This window comes from Homo sapiens, chromosome 1 (genome assembly GCF_000001405.40).
Source record: "Homo sapiens chromosome 1, GRCh38.p14 Primary Assembly".
In the NCBI taxonomy this organism is placed as follows: Eukaryota; Metazoa; Chordata; class Mammalia; order Primates; family Hominidae; genus Homo; species Homo sapiens.
This window is the reverse complement of record NC_000001.11, coordinates 239,705,250-239,727,757: the sequence shown is the minus strand read 5'-3', so window position 1 is coordinate 239,727,757 and position 22,508 is coordinate 239,705,250. Positions and strand designations below refer to the sequence as shown.

At 37.1% G+C, this 22,508-nt stretch overlaps 1 protein-coding gene and 1 long non-coding RNA gene across 33 annotated transcripts in view, besides 1 other annotated feature; one reads left to right on the top strand and one right to left on the bottom strand.

Moving 5' to 3' along the window:
- Positions 1-22,508, bottom strand: part of CHRM3 (cholinergic receptor muscarinic 3) — a 528,883-nt gene that overhangs the window by 187,693 nt on the left and 318,682 nt on the right. For 10 of the 32 annotated variants that reach the window (NR_164748.1, XM_047443115.1, XM_011544043.3 and 7 more), the window contains one exon: positions 8,859-8,962. The exons of the other annotated variants lie outside the window; for them this stretch is intronic. The gene's annotated coding sequence lies outside the window, so the exon portion shown is untranslated. The remainder of the gene's footprint in view (positions 1-8,858; positions 8,963-22,508) is intronic. 32 annotated transcript variants of the gene reach the window in all.
- CHRM3-AS2 (CHRM3 antisense RNA 2) lies at positions 8,639-20,632 on the top strand. Its single transcript, NR_103776.1, has 3 exons — positions 8,639-8,808; positions 13,494-13,581; positions 19,998-20,632. It is a non-coding gene; the product is annotated as a CHRM3 antisense RNA 2 (long non-coding RNA).
- Positions 21,064-21,593: an enhancer, noted in NCBI's record as "H3K27ac-H3K4me1 hESC enhancer chr1:239869465-239869994 (GRCh37/hg19 assembly coordinates)". NCBI's record gives its function as "activates a minimal SCP1, AML or CMV promoter by ChIP-STARR-seq in primed H9 embryonic stem cells {active_cell/tissue: H9 hESC(primed)}" and the evidence as "EXISTENCE:reporter gene assay evidence [ECO:0000049][PMID:30033119]".

Sequence of the window (22,508 nt, the reverse complement as noted above, 5' to 3'; positions counted from 1 at the left end):
TGTGGGAAGGTATCCGTCAGTGGAGCAGGTTTGCAAATACACGACACACGAGACTCGCCACTGGCCTTAATGAAGCCTGCATCATTCGGTGCTGAAAGCAAAAGGTGAGGTCTTTTTTTTTTTACCCTCTCTGACTTCTGTAATGCTTCTCTCATGTTCTCTTTAAAAAAGTCATTTTGACCCTTGCTGATCTGTGGAGGCAGAATGCCCAATTAAATTACTTTCATTATAAAAGCACATACAGCCAAATACTTTTTATAGCACACGATTTCAAATTCATAATAAGCATGAAGGAAAAGTAGCACAAAAGCTTTTTAAAATTATATAGAGACTTTTAAACAATTGGTGCTACCAAAAAAGGTCAGAGAGAGTGCCTCACTGTGGAAGGTCCAATTGGCCAAGAAATTATGAAACTGACATTTTAAAATAAGAATACATTTTAATATTCATTCTTTTGGGGTCAGGTGCAGGCTACTCAGAATAACAATTCTGTCCAAATAGAAAATGAAAACCTTCCAGGAATAATTACCTTCAAAGCAGACTATAGCTCTCCATTTAAGAACTGCATTGAAACATGACAGTAACTTACATTTACTGGGTAGGGACTATGTGTCAAGCACATTGTTAGTGCTTTATTTTGATTTTTTTTGATCTTCACAATAACTGTATGGGATAAGTACTATTATTATCACTATAATACACATGAGAAAATTGTGGCTTAGAGCTTAAATGATTTTTGTAAATTTTTGGAGACAGTGAGTGGTGGACCCAGTAACCAAACTAAAAGTTACTAAGTCTAGAAGCTAGTTCTATTGTTAATGGTAGCTTTCCAGAACATTTACGATTTTAAGTTGTATAATTATTAATTTAGGCAAAGAGTATTCAATAAGTACTGCTATCAGGTACTGCTAGATGCTGGGATTGCAATAATGAAATTGTTCTTATTTATTAACAAACACACAGTCTCATCAACACACCATTTCTTGAAGCTGGTTCAATAAGACATTTATTGTCATGTCTAATTTCACAGAAGAAAAGCTAAGCCAGCGGTTGTTAAGGATTTTACATTCAGCAGAAAACAGAATTATTGCCCATTGATTTCAGTCAAGTGTTCTGTACACTAGATATCACCATGCATCTTATAGAGAATCAGACAAGTAATTGCTGAAGCCATTAAAGTCAGTTCTGAGCTCCACAAAACCTGATACAACTACCTGATAACCTCTTTAGGTATAGGAACTACTTTAATATGTTATGCTTAAACCCAGCCACGAGGCAAATGAACATCAGGTTTTTTCAAAGGTAAATCAAGATTAGTCACAATGTAAGAAAATATGGCGGAAAAAAAACTAAATGATCAATAAATAGAATCTAGTTTTGTAACATATGGCACATTAACCTCATAAAATATTATCCATCTACTATTATTTGATTCAAAAGTTCGGTACACATAGGAGTATTATTTTAATGCATGCGTAAAACCTACACAGACTCACAATGCACCAAAATTACATGTTAATGTAACAGCATCTAGACACAAAATAATTAGAATAGCACATGATCTACAATGTGCTAGAACAAAGGTCAATACGCTTTTCAGAAAAGGGCCTTGGCGGTTCCAAAGGCATTGTTGGAATTACTCAGCTCTGCTGTTGTAGTGCACAAGCAGTCATAGACAACATGTAAATGAACGTGCATGGCTGTGTTCCAATACAAATTCTCTTATAAAAACAGGGAATGGGCCAGATTTCACCTGAGGGTTGTGATTTTTCTGATCTCTGTGCTATAATATACAAGTATGGGGCAGTTTAAAGACATTTACACTGGTGTTTTTGTAATATTTTATAATACTGCTTAATAAATTTTAAGAAAAGTCTGTACATCTGCATAATCAAGTTATACATTTGCTCACTTGAATTCAAGCCATTATTTTTACCCAGTCTAAATTATTTTTACCCAAAGCTACCCAAGAAGGTAGCTTTACCTTTTTGAAATAGTTTGCAAATTCCAGACAGACGTCAGGGCAAAGAGTCTTTATAAAGCGTTTAGCTAGACAGCAAAGCTTTCATTACTGTTGGTTAAACAATCCAAAATCCATGACCCGGCCACCAATCAATCAACACGCATTTACAGATTGATGACAAAGTATTCTGCCCTGTTCTAAGCACACTTGTCAGACAGTCTCTCTCCTGTCAAGCAGTTTAAAATCTAATAAATGAGGCAATTATGTTATCTTTATTTATTCAGTGAGACATTTTGGCATAGAAACATCAGGCATGTCCAGCAACTAGAAACAAAAAGTATATCCTGCTGCATACGGTGGAATTACTCTAGTAGATAAAAATATCTTTTCATCGATTTTCAGGAGAAATATATTCAATTTTAATTTGTATATGCAGGCTTTTTACCTGATCTGTTTACTCATTGATAACATAGTATTTTGGGAAAAAATGGTCAGTAATTCACCAATTACAGGTATTTATGTTTCCCAAGCTTCAATTTAACCCTTCTAATGGTAGAAAAAGGACATAATCATTTCATAAAGTATGCTAGCGTTATACTACCAAAACAAAGAAAAATACACTGCCATTATCCTCCAGACAAGAATAAAGCTTACTAAATACTTTTCTAAGTCTAAAATAGGTTGTTGGAGAAGGAAGCAGCAGCTAGATCAAAGATAACACCATCCTAAGGTGCTTAGTCTGTATTGCTAAGTAATAGGAAGAGCAACACAGCTGAGAGTGCACACAGGCATAGCAGAGGGGAATAGTAACAAGATTAAATATAACAATAAGTAACTGGGCTGGGCATGGTGGGGTGGGTCATGACTGTAATTTCAGCACCTTGTGAGGCTGAGGCAGGAGGACCGCTTGAACTGGGAAGTTCAAGACCATATTTAGATGGTAAAACCATAAGGCCTTGGTAGTTGATTAGATGTGGGGGCCAGGGAAGAAAGAGCTGGCAATTAGAATTTCTAGCTTCAATAATTTGGTAAAACATTGGAATATGACACACAGAGACATCAATGGATCACGGGGAGGAAGATGAAGGAGCTCTCTTTCAGGTATATTTGGAATATCTATGTGAAAATAAATGCCCAACTAAAGAATCCTTACCCTAAACATTATCTTATTCTCACATTAGCATTTATTGAGTGTGCTGTATGTATCAGACACTGTGCTAAGCACTTCACCTCTATAATCCCACTGAATCCTCCCAACAGCCCTACTGATATATGCATTTTACACCTAAGGGAAATAGAGTGAGGTTAAGTAAACTTCCAATGCACAAACAATTAAATGGCAAAGCCTGGATTTATTAACTCATAATTCTAAAACTGACTCTTAGCCACTACCATATATGGTGATAAAAAGAAAAAGAAAACAGCTTAATCTGAAGAATACTACAAAGATATTATCACTTTGCCAATATCAGCCCCACAGGTATACTGTTTTGGGCTTTGCCATGAGTCTGCTCAATAAACAACCTAATACAGAGAATTAGACTTACTTCATTTCATTAAGAGCTCAAGAGGCACTTCTGTAAATCTGGGAGGTTTATAAGGGCCAGGATGCGTCCATGCCCTCCTAAGTCAACATTCTTACCAAGTCGACATTGGTCCAGCATCTACAACATGACCAAAAAAGGCAAGGCTTCTGACTTTGGGCCAATATTGACTTGGATGGAAAAAAAAAAGGCAGGTTTGTGGGTTTTTAAGCATATTTGAGAATACCAGAGGCTGTACAGCTTGGCTTCAGTGAATGTCAGCTCAGGGCCAAAATATACCCATTCACAAAATGAAGTTTGTTTCCCTACTTTTTGTGGTGAAAGCCCCTGGAGTTTTGGCAGGCTTCTCAATCTGGCACTCAGTTGAACTGCTGCAGACAGGATGCAAACTTCTACTGGCCTATACTATGAGGCCTCATCTTTAAGTTCTAGAATCCCAAGAGGCTAAATGGTGAGAAGAGGAGGGCCTTAAAACGTATTAGCCCTGGGCCAGTCATGTTGACCCACAGCAACTCCTACTCTAATTCTACACACATCTCATACAATTTGCCCCAAATGATGGGGATTATATTTAATCACCTTATATCCTGCAAATGATCAGTGTGGTGAGACAGAACATATGAAGTACTAAGCAGTGTCTGGCATACAGGAATTTTTCGATATATGGCAGCAATTATTACAGATATTTGTAGTAGTACATTTTAGTAATAGCCATATGGGAGCTTAATAAACATTTGTCTCAGTATTGAATTTGGCAACCCTTATTGACCCATTATTTATTTTGAAAGACAAAGTTGAAACAGTCCAAAATAAGGCAAAATATAATTTGATTCATGTGATCTCTATTAAGATAATATACATTGTTAACCTTTCAAAGAAAAATATTGACAAAACATTGACATTTAAAAATTAAAGCTATAATTAATTATACTTTAGAATGCATTTATTTTTTTCCTTATTTTATCCTTAGAATACCTATAGAAATTACTTAGGCACTGTTTTATCCTTATTGAACAGAATTGTTTCATGTATTTAGCATTTCTGGCAAGTAATTGAGTGCTAGTGCCTGGTGTATAGCTAAATAAATGGACATAGTTACCTCTTATTAATGAAAGCCAGTTTAGATATTATTGACATTCCAACTCAACAGTATTTCTCACCTTACAGAGGTGAAATGAGAGATAGAAAGCAGAGGATACTGAGAAAATTCAAAAGTCTCTATTGGCTCCAAGTGCTAATCTAGGTACAATATATGCATCAACATGGAATTTTTGTACTTTGAGGAAAACGAATTAGTACAGTGATGACATAATCAACCAATTCTAGTTGATTTTTATTTCTCTTTTGATTTTTTATATTCCCTAGTTGATACATGTTCATATTTACCCTGGAATGTGTTAACAATGAAAAAAATAAGTTATAAGAAATATGAGATTCAATAAGGTACAATCATGTTTATGAATGTTCTTAACCATAAATGCATAGCTTGTCCAGGCCAGAAACAATTCAGTTTCTGAATTCAATGCCACTCTTGAATATGTTAACTCAGTTCTAAATGAAATGCATTATTTGTACAAAGTTCTACTTAATATTTAACATAATGAAGATTGTCAATTCCAATACATTTGCACTGCAGAAAATGCATTTGTATTGCTCAGAGTGCTTAATGAGTAATAATGCAATGAAGAAAAACCAAGACTAAGAGATGTGAACTAAAAACCAAAGTCACAACTCCTATAGGCAATGATATTAAGACTAGAACTTAAGTCTTAAGATTTTGTTATTTGTGTCCTTTTACTGTTAAATTGCAAGAGGAAAGTCTTTTTAAGGTAGCAAAAATAATATTTGTGGGGAGGAGACAGCAATAATATCTGTTCATGCAACTAACTAGGTATATGTGAGTGGGTAGGCACATAAGGCCAATGGGCACTGGGAAACATGTCTGTCAGGTTCTTTCTGTTTTGTTAGCTATTGAGTCAACCTGACTGAAACAAAGATGCATTTCACAAGAGTGAAAATTGGTTTCAGTCAATCCCTTTAGCATTTTCCAGGTGACTACATTTTTATAAATCGCCTGACAAAATCAAGCAGTTACATTGCTTCACAGACTTTGGCTGGAACATTAAAGGAACTGAATGATTTATGGAGGAGAAGATCAAATAGGTTGTGTTGTATCTAAATGCCTGTCCCATGAACCAAAAGCTGAATGTGAATTGGCAAATTAATGATTTTTCATTTTCTTCTAGGATTTCATGGTTTGGAATGCCTTGTGTTGAAGGGACACATTTCACCCCTTTTAAAAGTGCATCTTAAAAAAAAGTCACTGTCCTGCAAATCTCCCACATCAGCTCTGATTTCCCTCGCTCACCTGCTGCAATATTTATTTTTTCATGCCACACCATTACATTGCTTTGTTTTGTTTGTATTTTTCTCCAATTGTTTCATGAGTGCCTATGATACACACGAGTGCATATAATCTGAATCAGATTATATAGTAAAGACTTCTTTTGTACTTCTCATACTGTAGAAAGATAATACCTATTGGCTATTCCATGATGAATTTTCTGTGTAGGAATTAATTCAATACATGTTCTTCATTTGTACTGACAATATGTAAAGGACATTTTTGAGTCCTTTTCAATCCTTTAGGAGGGCAGCTCTTCTGTACTTCATTAAAATACAAACTCTTACTTTGATTTACTTTCAGCTCTAAACCTTGTTCTCCCTGTTAATGAAATGCATTTGTATCATGCATGAGATACATACTTCTTATTATGATTTAGAACCTTCCAAAACATTAATGTTGCTCAATAGAATTGCCATACCTAAGATTTAATACCATGCCTATCATTTTCTTGTTTCTCATTCTCTCCATCCTGAAGTACCGGGATTCTCATATAAGTAACTTTGCCTGAGCTTGGGTAAAAGTTGACTCCTAATGTAAGGTGAACTGGAGAAGAACATTTCTTTCACCTCTTTCCCTGATCTTATCTTTTTTATTCAGCATTCCCTCTAAAGAGAATTTCACTCACAGAATTAGAGAGAGACTCTGTACTCTTTTATCGTATCACTTTTAGAAACTAAAACCCATTGGATTTTTTGAGAATTAGGAATCATTATACTGTGCAGAGTTTGGGCTTTTTGACACATTTCCATTCCTTCAATTGAGCACTCCTTTTATTGGATCACTGGAATAAAATCATGATTATTAAACATGTCACAATATACAATTCTCATTTTATAATAATTTATGAAGACCTTGCTTAAATATATGTTCTCAAATCAATTTAAGTTGAGCACATATTAAGCAAAAATAAATTTAAAAATGCATCTTGCCTCTCAACAAAATATTTCCTTGCCTGAGTTGTTCAAACTCCTGCAGATAAAGCATATTTAAATAAAGATAAGGGGCTATCACTTGCTCTTATTTTCATTATATTCAGGAGATGACCACTTTGATTATAAGTAAGAAGACTTAAAAATACTCATGATTTCCAACATGAATTACAGCACTTAAGACTTTGTCTTCTCGTTAAATCATGCTTATTCGTGCATTTTATATAAAAACTCTGGAGAATAACTTAACAGGAAATCTAAAATAAGAAAAAGAAACACTGAAATTCCCCAAATCTCTATAGATAAAACCCTTTAAGGCTTAGGATTAAGCATTTGAAAATATCAGGAGCATTTAAAATATGTTCATGCTTAGCTTTCTGTTCACTTGCTATCTGCAACATGAAAAGTCTGGCGTTGAGTGGCACGAGAGCATTACTGTTTCATTTTGATAATCCAAGTTTAATTTTAATACATCTTTTAATTTTACTTTAATTTAGGTTTTTTTGGGGTTTCAGAGGCAGAGCACTACTTTGTTTCTGACTAAATGACAAAAATCATTAACTGCCAGTGACTATATGAACATGATGTGAACAATATATGCAAAGAAACTAGGGCAAAGTTTTTTGTTTTAGAAAAACATATACTTATATTCTATATATTCTGAATGATCCTCATATAAACAACACAACATACAATATCTCAAAATGTTACTACAACACGGCTCATTACTTTGCAGGTTGCAAACGCAGCGTGTAAATCCTTTCCTCTCAACCATAGTAAGTAAAGACACAGATACAACACGGTTTGCAAGTCTTAGCTCTGCTCTGTAAACTTACTGCTATCATAGGTCTTCTGCATAAGTATTTTTAGTGCCCAGTTCCTAGTTCAGTGCTTAAAAATCCTGCCGATCCCTGGGTTGGAACAAAGCTTTCGGAAGCAATTAACTGCTTTTGCCATCCCAGGTGCCAAACACACACACAATGTCCTTTTATTTGTGGAAATACACACAGATCTATTCTGCATGTGCTCAGAGCTCAACACAAATATCACCCCTTTCCCACAGGCAGCAGGAAGGATGTGGTTTGAAGGACATAGTTGCTTCATCTGAATGTTCAGTTGTTCAAAAGATCTCTTGTTGCTACGCTGAGTTGCGGCTCTACTACCTACGTTTAAGAAGATATAACCAGGCCGTGCCCAAAATCCCACTTTTATCTATTTAAACAGGCATTCAAGTAGATCGTGCAATTCTTTGCCCCTTACCTTCAGTGGACACATGCTGAAAATGTGTTCATAATCAAAAGACATTCCCCAGAGCTGATGACCCAGTAATTCCTTACGTATACAGGTCAGCTGCAACAATACCGTACTAAAATCGCCAGATGAAATGGTCAGAATTACCCGGTGGCTTGATAAAATCAGCTTACTTTGAGTCTAATCCAAGGATAAATATACAGAAAGCTCCAAGCAGTGGAAACTGTAATCACCTTAGAACTGCCCCCTGAAACTGTAATACTGCCAGGAAAACAAATATTTGCTGAATTATAGGGTGCTATATTGGTTTTACCTGAATGCAATTAAGGGCTAAATAACTACAAGCTACTGTTTAAAGTGGACAGGTATAACCAAGAGCAGGGGACTAATTCTGCCAACACCACTAACACCAGTCCCCAAAAACCCTAACGATACACTCAGAACAAGCAAACCAGTAGATCTGATTACCAATTTCACATATCCTGCATTCTTGGAGCTCACCCATTTCATCATTTCCGGACACTCAGACTCTAACTAGGAACACCTAACTCATAGCCCTGTATTTTGCTAAGTTTTTCCTCTACTCTTGAGTCCTCCTTTAATCTATAGAGTGTTATTCTACACTGGACCTCTCTCTTATTTTTTGGAGTCTAGCATCTTGCATCTTCCTGGAGCCCCAACTAAACTCATAACTTCTAAGCTTCTAAGAAATATGTAAGTTTTTCAACTCTGTACATTAAGTCTTTTTGTGACCTTAAACTTACCTTAGAAAAAGATGTACTGTTAGTTACCAACTGCTTCTTCAGCCTTGCGTATAATGCCTGTTCCTCTTTATGACTCCCCTTCAAACTTACTAGCTCATGAGGATCTGTAATTTAAGAAAAGAGCTTTGGCAACAGGGTAGTTAAATTGCTACTAGTGGTTACTTCTGAATGACTTCAAGTTGATTCTTTCCTTGTGTTTTCTTCAATCACTTCTTATTTTTACTAATCAGTGTCACTATGTGTGAGCTATGACACTCCTTAGAACTATGCAAGTAGGCTTCAAAAAAAAAAGAATGGAAATTTGATGAAAATGTTTTACTGCTAACACTCAGCTAGAAATACCACCTCTGAAAAAGTGTACAAAACTCCATGTACCAGGTGGAATATTACTCCTGACCCAGAGTATTATATAAACATCTGTATTTTCTTCCCCAATTAGAAACAAATAGCTCTTGATGAAATGTCTGTGCCCTGGTCCTTCAGAAGTCAGTATCTGACTCTAAGATGCCAGGAAAATTTCACCTTGTGTCATGTTTCACGCTGAGGAGTTTGTATAGCGCTAGTGTAAACCTTGGTCTCTAAGACACATTCCATGGTGAATTTATTTCAAATTCCAAACTGAGTTTATTCCATTTCACTCACTTAAAATTCCAGTTGTGATTGGAAAATATACACTTCATTTACCTTCTGCGCAGTGTTCAATGAACCGCTTGTCATGTTTCACCCTAGTAGGTTGCATTTCAATCCTGAGTGTGTCTGTGTAGCAGCTGATTAAAGCTTTGCTATTATTTGTAAGGGATGTTATAACATGCACTGTCATCTTTCTTGGCATTTTTTGAAACGGTAACATGAGGATTCTGGCAAAATAATATGGTAGTTGCTACTCTTTCCTTACACCTATACCATTTACTTGTCAGTAAACAAAATCATGTTTTCAATGAAGTAGACAAATAGAAAACTCAGCTTCCCTATCCTGTTGTATCTTGTGCCACTCTCTATAAACTGACATGGCATAAAATGACATAGCTTGATAAACTGCTGGAGTCAAACACAGATTACTGCCATTTAGCTAGAGCAGGACACGTCACTTGAGGACACGGCCCCAAGGAATGTCAGTTCTAGAGGAGGAAGGATAGAACCGAAATGAGGGATCTGGTTCTTTGTTGTGTGTGGCTGAATTTCCCGGACATTGTTTAAGGCAGAAATGACAGGTAGCATAAAAGAGCAAACCTTACCTTAAGAAAGCAGATTATATAAGCACCCCCCTTGAATCCCAAATTCCTGCCACACTAGGACTTTACCACATAGGTTATTGCTCAGATCTGATGAAATGTTAACTCCAATCCGTAACCAACTGATAACAACCAAAAACCACATTAGTCATTATTTACTAAGATAACAACGATAAAAATCATGTGTGTGTGTGTGTGTGCGTGTGTGTCTTTCCTTGAGTTCTGTATCAGGATTTTATAATGCTGAGAGAGTTGTCTATTAAGAAACATGTTTCAACTTTATTCCAAAGAAATGGTCCCCACTACTCTCTGTGAAACTGTTAATGTCCAGCATGGCTCTTGTTATCAACAGGATCTATTCTATGCTTTCCTGGTACCAGCATAATTAAGTCAACAAAACTGGTTGCTTTCAAAGCCAATAACTATTCAAGGCTACTTCCTCTGCAAGGGCACAGTTTTAATACACCCATAAGCCTTATTCAGGATCTCAATCTTTTGCAGTTGAAAAATGAATCCAAGAACACCGTTAGAGAAGCTCACAATTCAACTCAGATCTTACATTTGAACTTTTTCTTTTTTGGAAAATGTACTCATGGTAACTTTATTCATGCAAAAAAAAAAACTGGAAGTGATTGAGAACATTTGTTTTTCTGGCATTGAGGACATTTCAATTATTGTCCCTTAATATGTCATCTCATAACTATTATCTGGAACAAGTATTCTTCAAATATGCCATATGGATGGTTAAAATCAAAACAAACTATTAATAACAAATCTAAACAAAGCCAAACAACCAAATACACATACAAATAAACCAAATGAACCCTCCTGTACATTCTCATTTTGTCAGAGAGCTACATCCCCGCTCCCCTTGAGCTACGTTTGGGCCCCTCCCTTCTTCTAGCAAGGTTTTTTAAAGTTTAGGTTCTTCTTTCCTTTCCCTTCTTCTCCCTTCTCCTCTTCCTCTTCTTTTTTTAATTCTATTTTAGGACCCACTGGTTAGCTTTCCTTATTACCAAATTAAAAATATTATTTATTCACTCTCTTGCAAAAAAAGGCTCTTTTGAGAGTCACACTGTTTAGCTGTAAACATCATTTCTCCCTGTGAATGGCTGGAGTCCCAGTGAAGCCTTCTACATTTAACAAAGGCTTTGGTACATGGCTTAAAGTCTTAATATCCAACCCAAGATCCTGGATGACGTCAATGCCCTTTTCGATTATCAACCAGCACCTGCTTTATAGCTCCCTATTATTCACTACAATAGTCTTTTTGAACCTCCACTCTGCTTCAGCCAGTCACAATCATGGAGACCCCAAACTTGGCCACCTCTATACTTGTTCACTCTGTGAAGTTATTCTCTAAACAGCGCCAACCAACTTTTCAACTCTACCGACTTTGTATTTCCACTCCATCAGTTCTACAACCTCATTCATATCTCAAATCCCCTAAAAGTATCACTTTCTTTACTTCTAAAAGCTCCCTTTGGCTCTACTTTCTTCTCTCTTTAACCTAGACATCATAGCCTATCACTTCAAACATCCTCCTGTTAGTACCCACTTCTCGTTTGAATTCTTGTCGTCCCTCCACATTTTCCTCCAGAATTTCAACCCAAGATCAATGCAATTATTTTATGTCTGTTTTCATACACCTGGGTTGCTACATTCTGGTTAACTTCATGTGACTCTGCAGAATGGTACTGGTACAAAGCCCTGGTCTTCAACATCACTAGGACTTCAACACTGTCCAAATTTCCTTCCACATCTCCTTTTCTTTCAAGCTTTAACTGTTTCTTCCAATCCAACAGTATGTACAAACTGCCACTTCCTCACTCTCAGCAAAGCCCTCCTGTCCTAATTTACAGGTAAAATAGCCTGTGAAGTGAGAATTAACTCAATGTCCTTTCCTCCCTATGAACTGATTCCAGCCTAACTCTTTGCCACCCAACTCATTAGAAGAGATATCTTTTCTCTTATCCAAAACTAATCTTCCCACTTTTACTCTGGATCCTACCTTCCTCCCTCTTTATCTGTTTTATTAGCAATCCCACTTCTCACACAAACCTTCAACCTCTCCCATCCCATTGGTTTCTATGTGGTGGTGCACTGGAGCTGATAGCTAATTGTAGGTATCTTCTCAAATCTGCATTCAATAAGGTATTCTGAATGCCTTCTGCATTCTTCCATGATAGTTTTACTCCAGCCATGGTGACGGTATTTACGCCATGGTCATCTGTAATAGCTACAAATTAGAGCTTTTATTTCTCCTCTGGAGGCCTGGTTTATCAGAACACCACTGCACACACGCCTTCTCAAAACAAAACAAATAAAATCATTGACAAAAATTCTGGTGCATAGCCTATTTCCTCTTCTAGTTATAGTGCCCTCTGTCCTTTTATGTTCTAACTACTTAAAATATGTAGTGTGTACCCAATCATTTGCTCTTAACCAATTTAAATATGCCTTTAATTCTTAACAGTTCTTCATTGAAGTTGATATTTCCAAGGTAATCAGTAACTCATAGTTGATAAACCTAATGGGTCCTTCTCAGTTTTTACTCACTTAATCTGTGGTATTTGATATTGTTAGCCACTCCCATCTTATAATTCACTCTTTCTCTGGCTTCAGGACATCATCATTCCCTGAATTCCCCCTTACCTCCATGGTCTTTTCTTTTCTGGGTTCTTTTCATTTGTCTACCTTTTAGCAAGTTTTTCCACAGTACTCTTTCTCAGCTTAAACTATTGGCAAAATCTTCATCCCATGCAATGCCATGTCTCTCTCACATCTCTCTCACATGCTGTAGTTACCACTGTACAACTGTCCACTTAGGTCATTCAAGACATCAGGCATCTAAAATCCCCAAACTCATCAAATTTTGCCTCCTTCCTTGTCACCTCACCTACTCTGGTTCTCCTGCCCCTCAGTCTATTCTTCACAACTGAGCTGAGCTAATATTTTCTAGGCACAATTCTGATTGTATCACCCCTGGCTTAAAACACTTGAATTTCTTCCCTACCTCTTCAGCTACTTCTGCAGCCTCATTTTCCACTAGGCTTTCCCTTCCTGCTGTGTTATGTGTTTGTGCAAATTCTGTCCTTTCTGTCTCCTCCCCGTCCTGTGCCTGTGCACCCTTCTACCGCAGGGCCTTGGCACAAGCTGTCTTCTGCCTCTGCTCATCCCTCCTCACCCAAGTAACTCTGATTTACCTTTCGGGTCTCAGCTTAACTGGACCTTCCAAGAAGAAACGTCCCCTGAGCATTCTTGATGAGCTCACATCTCACTATCAGGTGCTCTCAGAGCACTCTCCACTGCCACCTTTTATCTGAAGCATTGTGAGTTAGGTGCAGTATCAGAAGAGCAGCTTTTTGTTTATAAAATTGCTAACACCTGTTTCTCTCTTTAGATGACGAGCTCCATGAGGGCCAAGGCTCTCCATTCTTGTTCACCACTGCACACTCAGGAGCTCATGGCATGCTGGCTGTGCTAGTTCTGTGAGTATTTATTGAATTAATGAATGAAGATCCTGGAAATTTCCAGAAGTTCTTCAGATGGGAAAACTAATAGAAGGCTGGGTTTCCCGCAGGCAAGCAAAAAGCAGTTTTAAGTCTAAGAACTAAGGCCTTGAGAGACATCTTCTAATTTTGTAAGCATTGCTGGTTAGGCATACACAGATGAATTACCCAAATGATATGAAAGAAATCTGCCGTATTAACATCATGTCTGGTTTAAAGAACAGGGCTTAAAACCTTAAAGAGGTACATACATTTCTCTGGGCTTATGTTTTGTCCCTCGTCCATAAAACAATTTAATGGAACACCGTTTTTTATACTTAAATAAGGTGATCACACAATTTATCATCCAGACTAAGGCATGTTTGTTAGTGAAAGAGAGTAATCATAATTGTGCCTCAGCAACAGAGGTAAACTGCAGAGGTCTCCAGCAAACTGGGACAAGTGGTCACCCCAGCTGTGGCTGACATAACAGTATGATATAGGGAAATGCAAAATTCTCTGTCCATGGAGATCTGTGATGGGAGCTATAGAATAACTAAGCCCAACATAGAGGGATGCTTCTCATCAATGTGATGTTGGTGTTTGTGCAAATTGTAGAAGAAGCAATGCATCTTCAATAATGCAGTAAACAGAATAAGATTACAGTTGCATTCAGCATTTTACATTTTATTTGGAGCTTGTTCTGTTTATTATTTTATTTTGTTCCCCTCAACATACCTATTTTAATTCCTCAAAAAGCCTTTGATGAGCAATGGGCCAGGCACAATTGTGATGGAAAGGAAGAACAAGATATCAACCATCCCTAGAGAATCGACAGTATAATTACAGAGCAAATAGTGTCATCCATAATTACAGATTAAGGAATGGACACCCAGAACTCAGAAATGACTTGGTTAAGGGTGTGTAGATAATAAACAGTATAACTGGAACTGCAATTCAGATCTCTGACTTCCAATTCGGAATTCACTTTATTTTGCTCAGCTGCCTCCCACTTAATGTACTTAATGTACTTTATGCTCTTGTCTTCTACCGCACAGAAATGCCCATGAAGTACGTTGACACAGTCTTTGCAGAAGCAGATTGTGCCCGGGCTTAGCGGGCAGTGTTTGTGTTGCCCGTGTGGACTTCCTTTTTAGGCGCTGGCTTCTGGCCCTGTGTCAGGGATTGGAAGGGGATTTAAAAGGCCAAGCACATCTCTGATTAACTTGTCGCTGTATCATACCTATGTTTAAATCCTGGGTAAATTAAAAGGACAAAAATATGTCTTTTTACTTCATGATCAAATTCCACTGCAGAGGAGTAATGAAATAGTCCAGATATGGTCAGGGGATAACCCTGGGGATAACAGACCATCTCTACTCCATAAAATGTGGGTATTTGTCCATGATGAAACATTGGACCTTTTCATTAAAGAGAAACACTATTTATTAGTGCTTTGGGGTTTACAAAATACAGTCTTTACCGAATAGATTTATTACTGTTCTCAGATTTCTAAGGGAAACAGCTTTTAAGATTGCAATGCAAGTATTCGAGGAAATGCGGCATTATGCTTAAATTCTTTTAAATGCTAGCAACAGGCACTGGTTAAAAGGTAAAGTATTTTCAATAGTCAGAGATACCCCAGCTTACAGAGACTTCTGTTCTTTCATTCATTCCAACTACATACTTCTGCTAGCATAAGATCCTGATGATAAAATTGAAAGGTGAATTTTGTCATTTTCAACTTTCAAAAAAAATTTCACTTATTTTACAGAAATATTTCCTAAGTAAGAAATGACTTTCAAATAATCTTTTTTCTTTTTCTGACCTGAAGAGAATTCTGTAAAGGACAAAAGCAAAATCAAAATAGCTCACAAACCAACGAAGTCATTCCAATCACAACCAAGGATAACTAAAATAGAAGACTCCTAAAGTTACCTGAAATTGATCGGGGACCAAGATAACTGGGACAATTATAGTGAATAAAATTATTTTTTAAACATCTATAAAATTATTGATCCTATGCTCATGACAAAGATGGATACAATGTATAATTGAGATTAAAAATAACCTTCTCTTTTTGGGTAGTCTGACAGTTTATCTTAAAGGGAGGGTTTTCTTTGTTGGAAATATTTCTGAATGGGCTTACTAGAGGCAAAGGCTGAGATCAAAAGGCATCTAAGCCTGGGGGGATGGGCTCTGGGGAGCCCTGGTATGGATCTAGCTATAGCTAAAGGGGAATGGGGCTGGATGTGGAGTTTGAGAACAGCTTGGGCAATAGAGTGAGACTTCATCTCTACATTTTATTGTTTGTCTTAAAGTTAGCAGAGTATGGTGGTGCGTGCCTGCAGTCCTAGCTACTCTAGAGGCTGAAGCAAGAGGATCCCTTGAGCCCAGGATTTTGAGGCTGCAGTAAGCTGTGTCTCACCCCTGTTCTTTAGTCTGGGCAACAGAGTGAGACCCTGTCACTAAAAAAAAAAAAAAGCAGAGAGAGAGTGAGAGAGCGGGAAATGGGGATGTGAGGATGGAGAGAGACGGAGGGAGTGGGGCAGTGGACTAAAGGTTTGGTGGAAGGAGATCTATTGTTTTGTGATCCTCTCCTCAGGACCCCTCAAGTCCTCTGGAACTTGATGAACTTATTAATGATTTATAAATAACAATAATTTATTATTTCTTACTATTTAATATTAATATCGTATATTATTATTTAATGATTACTGATTTATTAAATCTTTGGGCTGATGGATGGAATGGGGGGTCTGGGTGGCCAAGCATTATTGAACCACATGGAAAGAGGAGTGCAGACACTGGGGACTGAGCAGGAGTAAACTCTGAGTAATGTTCAAGACTTTTGGGGAGCACCCGGGACTCAAAGGATGCAAAGTTGGATGGGGGTCAGTAAAGTTTATCCAGTCTCAGAGGAGCAAGAAAACTCCAATTTGTTATTGGGGTTACAGACACAATCCATGCATGACCCCAAAACCTTACGGTGTAGTGGAAGAAGCAGATGGGCAAACAACACACAAGGGATGTGTATTTATCTAAGGAATCTCATCTGTGCCACTGCAGCTGCATCTGTACAATGTCCAGGGCCCAGAGGAAGGCCTCACTTATGCTACCTGGAAACTCAGGGCGGTATTGTGGGGAGGTGGCATTTTTGCTGGGTCTTGCAGAATGAGTGAGAGTTGTCAAATAGTTTTGAAAACTCAGAACAGTATTATTTCAATTTCCTAAAAAGAAGCCAAACGAAGCTGGGAAAGAAGGAGACAGGCTTTCTTGGTGGGAGGTATAGCATGAATGAAGTTAGGAACACGGCAGGTTGTTTGCGGTGTGGTGAGAGGTACCAGGGTACATGGTTGAGGAGTGGTCAACCTTCACTCTAAAGCCATATTTATTAAGGCCTTAAAGCCTATACTTATTTTCTTTATGCTTAGAAACAAGCAACTTGTCAAGAATTGAGATATAAGAAAAAAATATTAATTTACTTTATCTAAACTTGGCATTCAATATAGTTACTAAATTCTCTGTCTGATACCTGGTTAAATGACTAAATAATAGTCAGTAAATGATTCTAATTTAAGCTTAACTGAAGCTTGTATCTAAAGTGAACCACAGGTCCCCTCCTCATCTCCTCATACCCTCCTGCTCATATGTCACATACCCAAACCCATAGCATATCTATCTCCACAGTTTTAATGATCTTAATCATTTACAATGTTATTTCTCATCATTTAGGTTGTCAGGTGTTCTTTGCATTATCAGCCTGCCTATAGATATGGAATTAATAAGATTATACAAAATATTTGCCCAACTTAGATCAGAGAATTTTGCAATTTCCTGATCAACTGCAAGATTGATCTTCCACAATATGGATGTAGTTATATACATACAAACACATATATATGGGTATAGTTACATATATAGAGAGTATCTATATGCATACAGTTATATATATATATTCAATAATATGGATATAGTTATACATATAACACTTAGATGCAGATAATGAAAAGACTGTTATTTGTTTTTAATTGGCTATTTAATTGTTTGATTCACAATGTTTGTTTCTGGAATTCCATGACAAGTCCAATAACATTAACTAGCTTTCAAGGTCGATGTCAGCAAAATGAAATTGCCATTAGAAGCATCACAATCAGTGTCCTTCCTCATTTGGCATAGGTGGAGGAGGACTGCAGAGTTACCTTTAGTAATATCTCATGATACAATGATGCTTCATGTCAAATAGCAATTAATATCATTTTAACTTAAATAATGTGGATATTATTTTACATTTTGATATTAATTTTTTTAAAACACTTGAGGTTTAAAGAAAAGATAAAACAAGGTAGCTTTGTCAAGAATGAGAATTTAGATCTTCACTGGTTAATCTCTTTAATTTCAAATTTAGCTACTTAAGTGGAACGTCCCAACTTAAAATAAATGTCTAGAAATTGCCTCATAGGTTAAAGAACTCTCAAAAACCTGTCCCTGACAATGGTATTTCCAAAAGCAGCTAGTGACAACAGGTTAAAGGGATTTATAGCCCCCTTTTAGCAGCTTAATGTCTATACAAAGGAATTCATTCATTCACTTCTTTTTTTCTCAACACGTATGGAACCCCTGCCACACAGGCAGCACTGTCCTAGCTGGAAACATGAGTAGATAAAGTCACTGATTCAAAGGAACTTTATTCTACTGGTGGGCACAAAATGGCAGCTAAATTTATAAGGTAACATTGGCTGCTTTACGGAAAAAAACAAAGCAGGGTAGGTGGGTACAATGAGTGATTGTCAAGAGTATGACTATTTTAGACACGGCGGTCGGTAAAATCCGCCTCAAGGTGGAGGCATTAGAACCAAGACCTCTGCTCACCAGCAGGCAGTCTGAAAAAGTATTAGACAAAATAACCCAGAAAACAAAGACTTGGGGTGGCAAACAAGCTTCAAGTGCTCAAGAAACTGTAAGAAATGTTGATGTGACTGGCCTGAGTTTCAGTCTGAAAACTTTGGGTGCTAAATAGTGAACATAGTTGCAGAAAAATAGAAAGTAAAAGAAAGCATTGTACGTTTAAACATATGCAAATAAATAGGTAGAAACAGATAGAAAACAGTATGTTTTAGGGAGTATAATTTTGGGGTAACATATCTTTTATTATTTTTCCTAACTGGGGAGGGGGTGGAAGACTATATTGCCAACAAAATGAAAGCTTTTACCCCCTAAACATGTCAAACAATTCAGCAGCTGATAATTACATTTATTGGAGTTAAAAAATAAAGTGGGATCTTAAGGAGAATTAGTTTATTTGAATCATGGTGACTGAGAGTGAAAAGAGAAAAAGACAAATGTGAAACTTCTGTTTCATCCACTAAGGAGTCAGCAGAAAGTACCACGGAACCTACAGACCTCAAACACCAAAAAAAAAAAAAAAAAAAAAAAAAAAGAAAATTTAAACCAGAAGAAACAAAGAGCCAGGAATAGAACAGTAACTTTGGCAAAAATTGGCCCTTTCTGGATGGGGCTTATATTTTTAGGTGGTTAAGCCCACAAATAAACACACAAAATTATGGGATGAACATTTGTGAATGGTGCTGCGGAGAAAAATAAAGGAGATGCGGGGTTTAGAGAGTCCCAGGGGTGGAGGTGCTGAGATGTTCTTTTACGTAGGATAGTTAGGAAATCCACCCCAGTAAGAGAGGCTGGGAAGCCACTGGAGGGTGTTGAGTAGAGAGTGAATTTTGGAATACGACTCCAGCTACTGTGCAAAAGACAGGTTGAAGGGGTCAGTGCTAAAGCAGGGAGGGCAATTGGAAGTCTCCTGCAATCATCTGAGTAAGAGCTAATCCAAGCTTGGACCAGCATAAACAGTGAGAATTTGTGAAATTCTAGATACAGCTGATGAGCACTGATGAATGAATCCAACTGGGAGCATGAAAGAAGAGCCAGATTCAAGGATGGCTCCAAGGTTTTGGCCTGAACCACCACAAGCTTGTTGCTATCATTTAGCAAGAGGCAGGGGAAGATCACATACACATGGTTTAGTCTGAAACATAAAGTGTTATTACACACCCTCAATTATCCTTCAGGCCACGTCTTCTCCCATGTTGCAGAATTAGCACATTCACTTACTGCCATTTCCTGCCTATGAGGAGTTAAATGGTATTTTTTTCTTCAAGAAATATTCCACAGTAGTTGTTTAACATGTTAGAGACAGATTGAAGAAAGAGTTAAAATAGTATTCATAAATGAATTTAATCTGTATCATAGTCTGAAAGATTGTTTCAAGGCCAAGGCCCAATACTCTTCTATATTAAATTATCTCAAGGTATGTTTATTTTCAATCCATGCTTAAGTTTAGCTACAGAGTCAGGGATAAAGTAGGATAAGTGAAGGTATTTAATTATTGTTTTCTTTTCCAGATCCTCAACAGAATAATTGCTGACAAACTCTCTTGCCCAGAAAATGTCTACTGGAATTATGGAGTACAAAAAAACTACAAAAGCAATGAAAAAAAGAAGGATGTTTTATTTACATCCTATTTCAAAACCATTGCTTTCTTGCTATTGTATGTCTCTGCAGGCCCAATATCGCGCATCTTCATAAGAAGTTTAGAATTGTTCCTTATGTTTCCTTCTAACAAACACTGGTATATTCACATGAAAGTGTATATTTTATTCACTTCCAAAACAGTTAGCTCATAATTCAGAACATTGAGGTTTGCAAAATGACTGAAGGAAACTTTACCTAAACAATAGTTGCCAGTTCTGCTGAGAATTATCACGGGCCCACAACGGCTGTGTGTTTTTCCATACAGATATTCTAATTTTTTTATTATGCAGCTAATTTTTTTTTAGACTCGCGAATAAAATAGCAAGTCAGTCTGTGCATAAGCATATGTTTAAATCTACCAGGAGAAATGTCTGGAATCTTTTTGGTTATTAAAATTAAAATTCAGGATAATGAAAGGCATATGCAACTTATTATATTCTTTATATAACTTATTTCATCTAATCCTCCAAATAGCTATATAACATATTTATCCCCACCTTACATAGATGTTAACCAAAGTCTGTAAGGTTCGTTCATTTGTCCACAGTTACCCAGAAAATTGTTTGTGGAGCTCAGTACAAGGCTGACTGCCAGACTCCAAAGTCTATGTTCCTTCTACTACCATACATTGCCTTTGTTTTTCTTTTATAAAAGTTGAAAAAATATCATTCTGCTTTTCCTACTTTTCCGAAAACTATTTATGATGATAAATCCAGTTTTTTGTAAGTAGCTCTTTAGCATTTCAATGCATGTAGCATCAGGCATGTGCATTTGTGCATGCCTGTGAATGCCTCTGCATGTGTGTACATGCATACGTGTGTGGGGGTGCATGCCTGTGCATGCCTCTGCGTGTGTGTGTGAGTACATGCACATGGGTGTGGGGGTGCATGCCTGTGCATGCCTCCATGTGTATGTGTACATGCACACGTGTGTGTGGGTGCATGCCTCCGTGTGTGTACATGCAAGTGTGTGTGGGTGCATGTCTGTGTGTGTGTGTGTGTGTGTGTGTGTGTACATGGACACATGTGTGGGGGTGCATGCCTGTGCATGCCTTTGTGTGTGTGTATGTACATACACACCTGTGTGGGGGAGTAAGAGGGGGCAGTGCCGAGAGGGAGCAAAATTTTTTTCTAGGTGTTAAGTTTCAAGAAGTTGGTGAAATGGAGACAGCCAATCCAACCCAGGAGACAGTGTTTGAAAACAGGGCTTCAGCTACTTGCATGATGTGGATTGGGGAAATGGTCTGTCCTCCTAGCCATGGGATGTCCCTGCTGTGTTCAGGAATCTTTCCATCTCTTGGATTTTAAAGGAAAGTATCCTTTCTGTCAGTAAAGTTTTCCTTCAATCCCATAAATAAATCATTTACAAATAATCTTCTAAATATTTAGAATGTAATAATAACATAATTATAAATTATATTAATAATGTATGTTTATTACATTTTATTGCATATTCACTATATATAATATATGTTAGTTTGTATTTATTATAATTTAGTTGTATATCATGAATTATTTATAATTCACATATAACTATAATATATAAATATAACATAAAATAAATTTAATAATTTATAAAAAACAATTTAAAATAATCTAAATAAATGATAATCATTCTCTTTGACATCCAAGCTCCTTATCAGACTTACAACATTTAATTCTTACTTCTCTTTTATTTTTAATCTCATCTACCTTTATCATTTGTATTACAACTTTGCATCTCAGTTGTATATAAAAGCTTACTTAGTATTCCAAGGTAATTTTATCACCTTGTACACACTGGCCATGGAGCTCCATTGCCTAGAATAATGTCTCTATTCTTTATGTTGAACATCAAGGCTACTTGATATATATATATATCGTGAATCTATCTGCCAGCCTAAACGTCATTTTCTCTTCTTTATATCCTCATACAGGTTAATTTTTCCTTCCCTATAAAGATAGGGCCTTTATAGAGGTAATCGCCTTAAAATGAGGCTATTAGAGTGGCCTTAATCCAACATCACTAGAGTTCTTAGAAGAAGGGGACATTTGGACACAGAGACATGGGGAGAACGCCATATGAAGACGAAGGCAGAGATTCATCTACAAACCAAGGAACTACAAAGACTGCCAGCAGCCCCCAGAAGCCAGGCGGCAGACATGGAACAGATTCTCCCTCACAGCTGTCAGGAGGAGCCAACCCTGCCTCCAGAATTGTGAAGCACTAAGTTTCTGTTGTTTAGGCCTTCCAGTCTCTGCTACTTTATTGCAACAACTCTAGCAAATTAATGCACAAATGGCAGAATGGTATTTTTCAACTTTTATGAGAAAAGTAAAGGCAGTTATAGTAGAAGAGAGCATCATGAGTCGACTGTGCTCAGATAGGGCTATTTGCTTTTC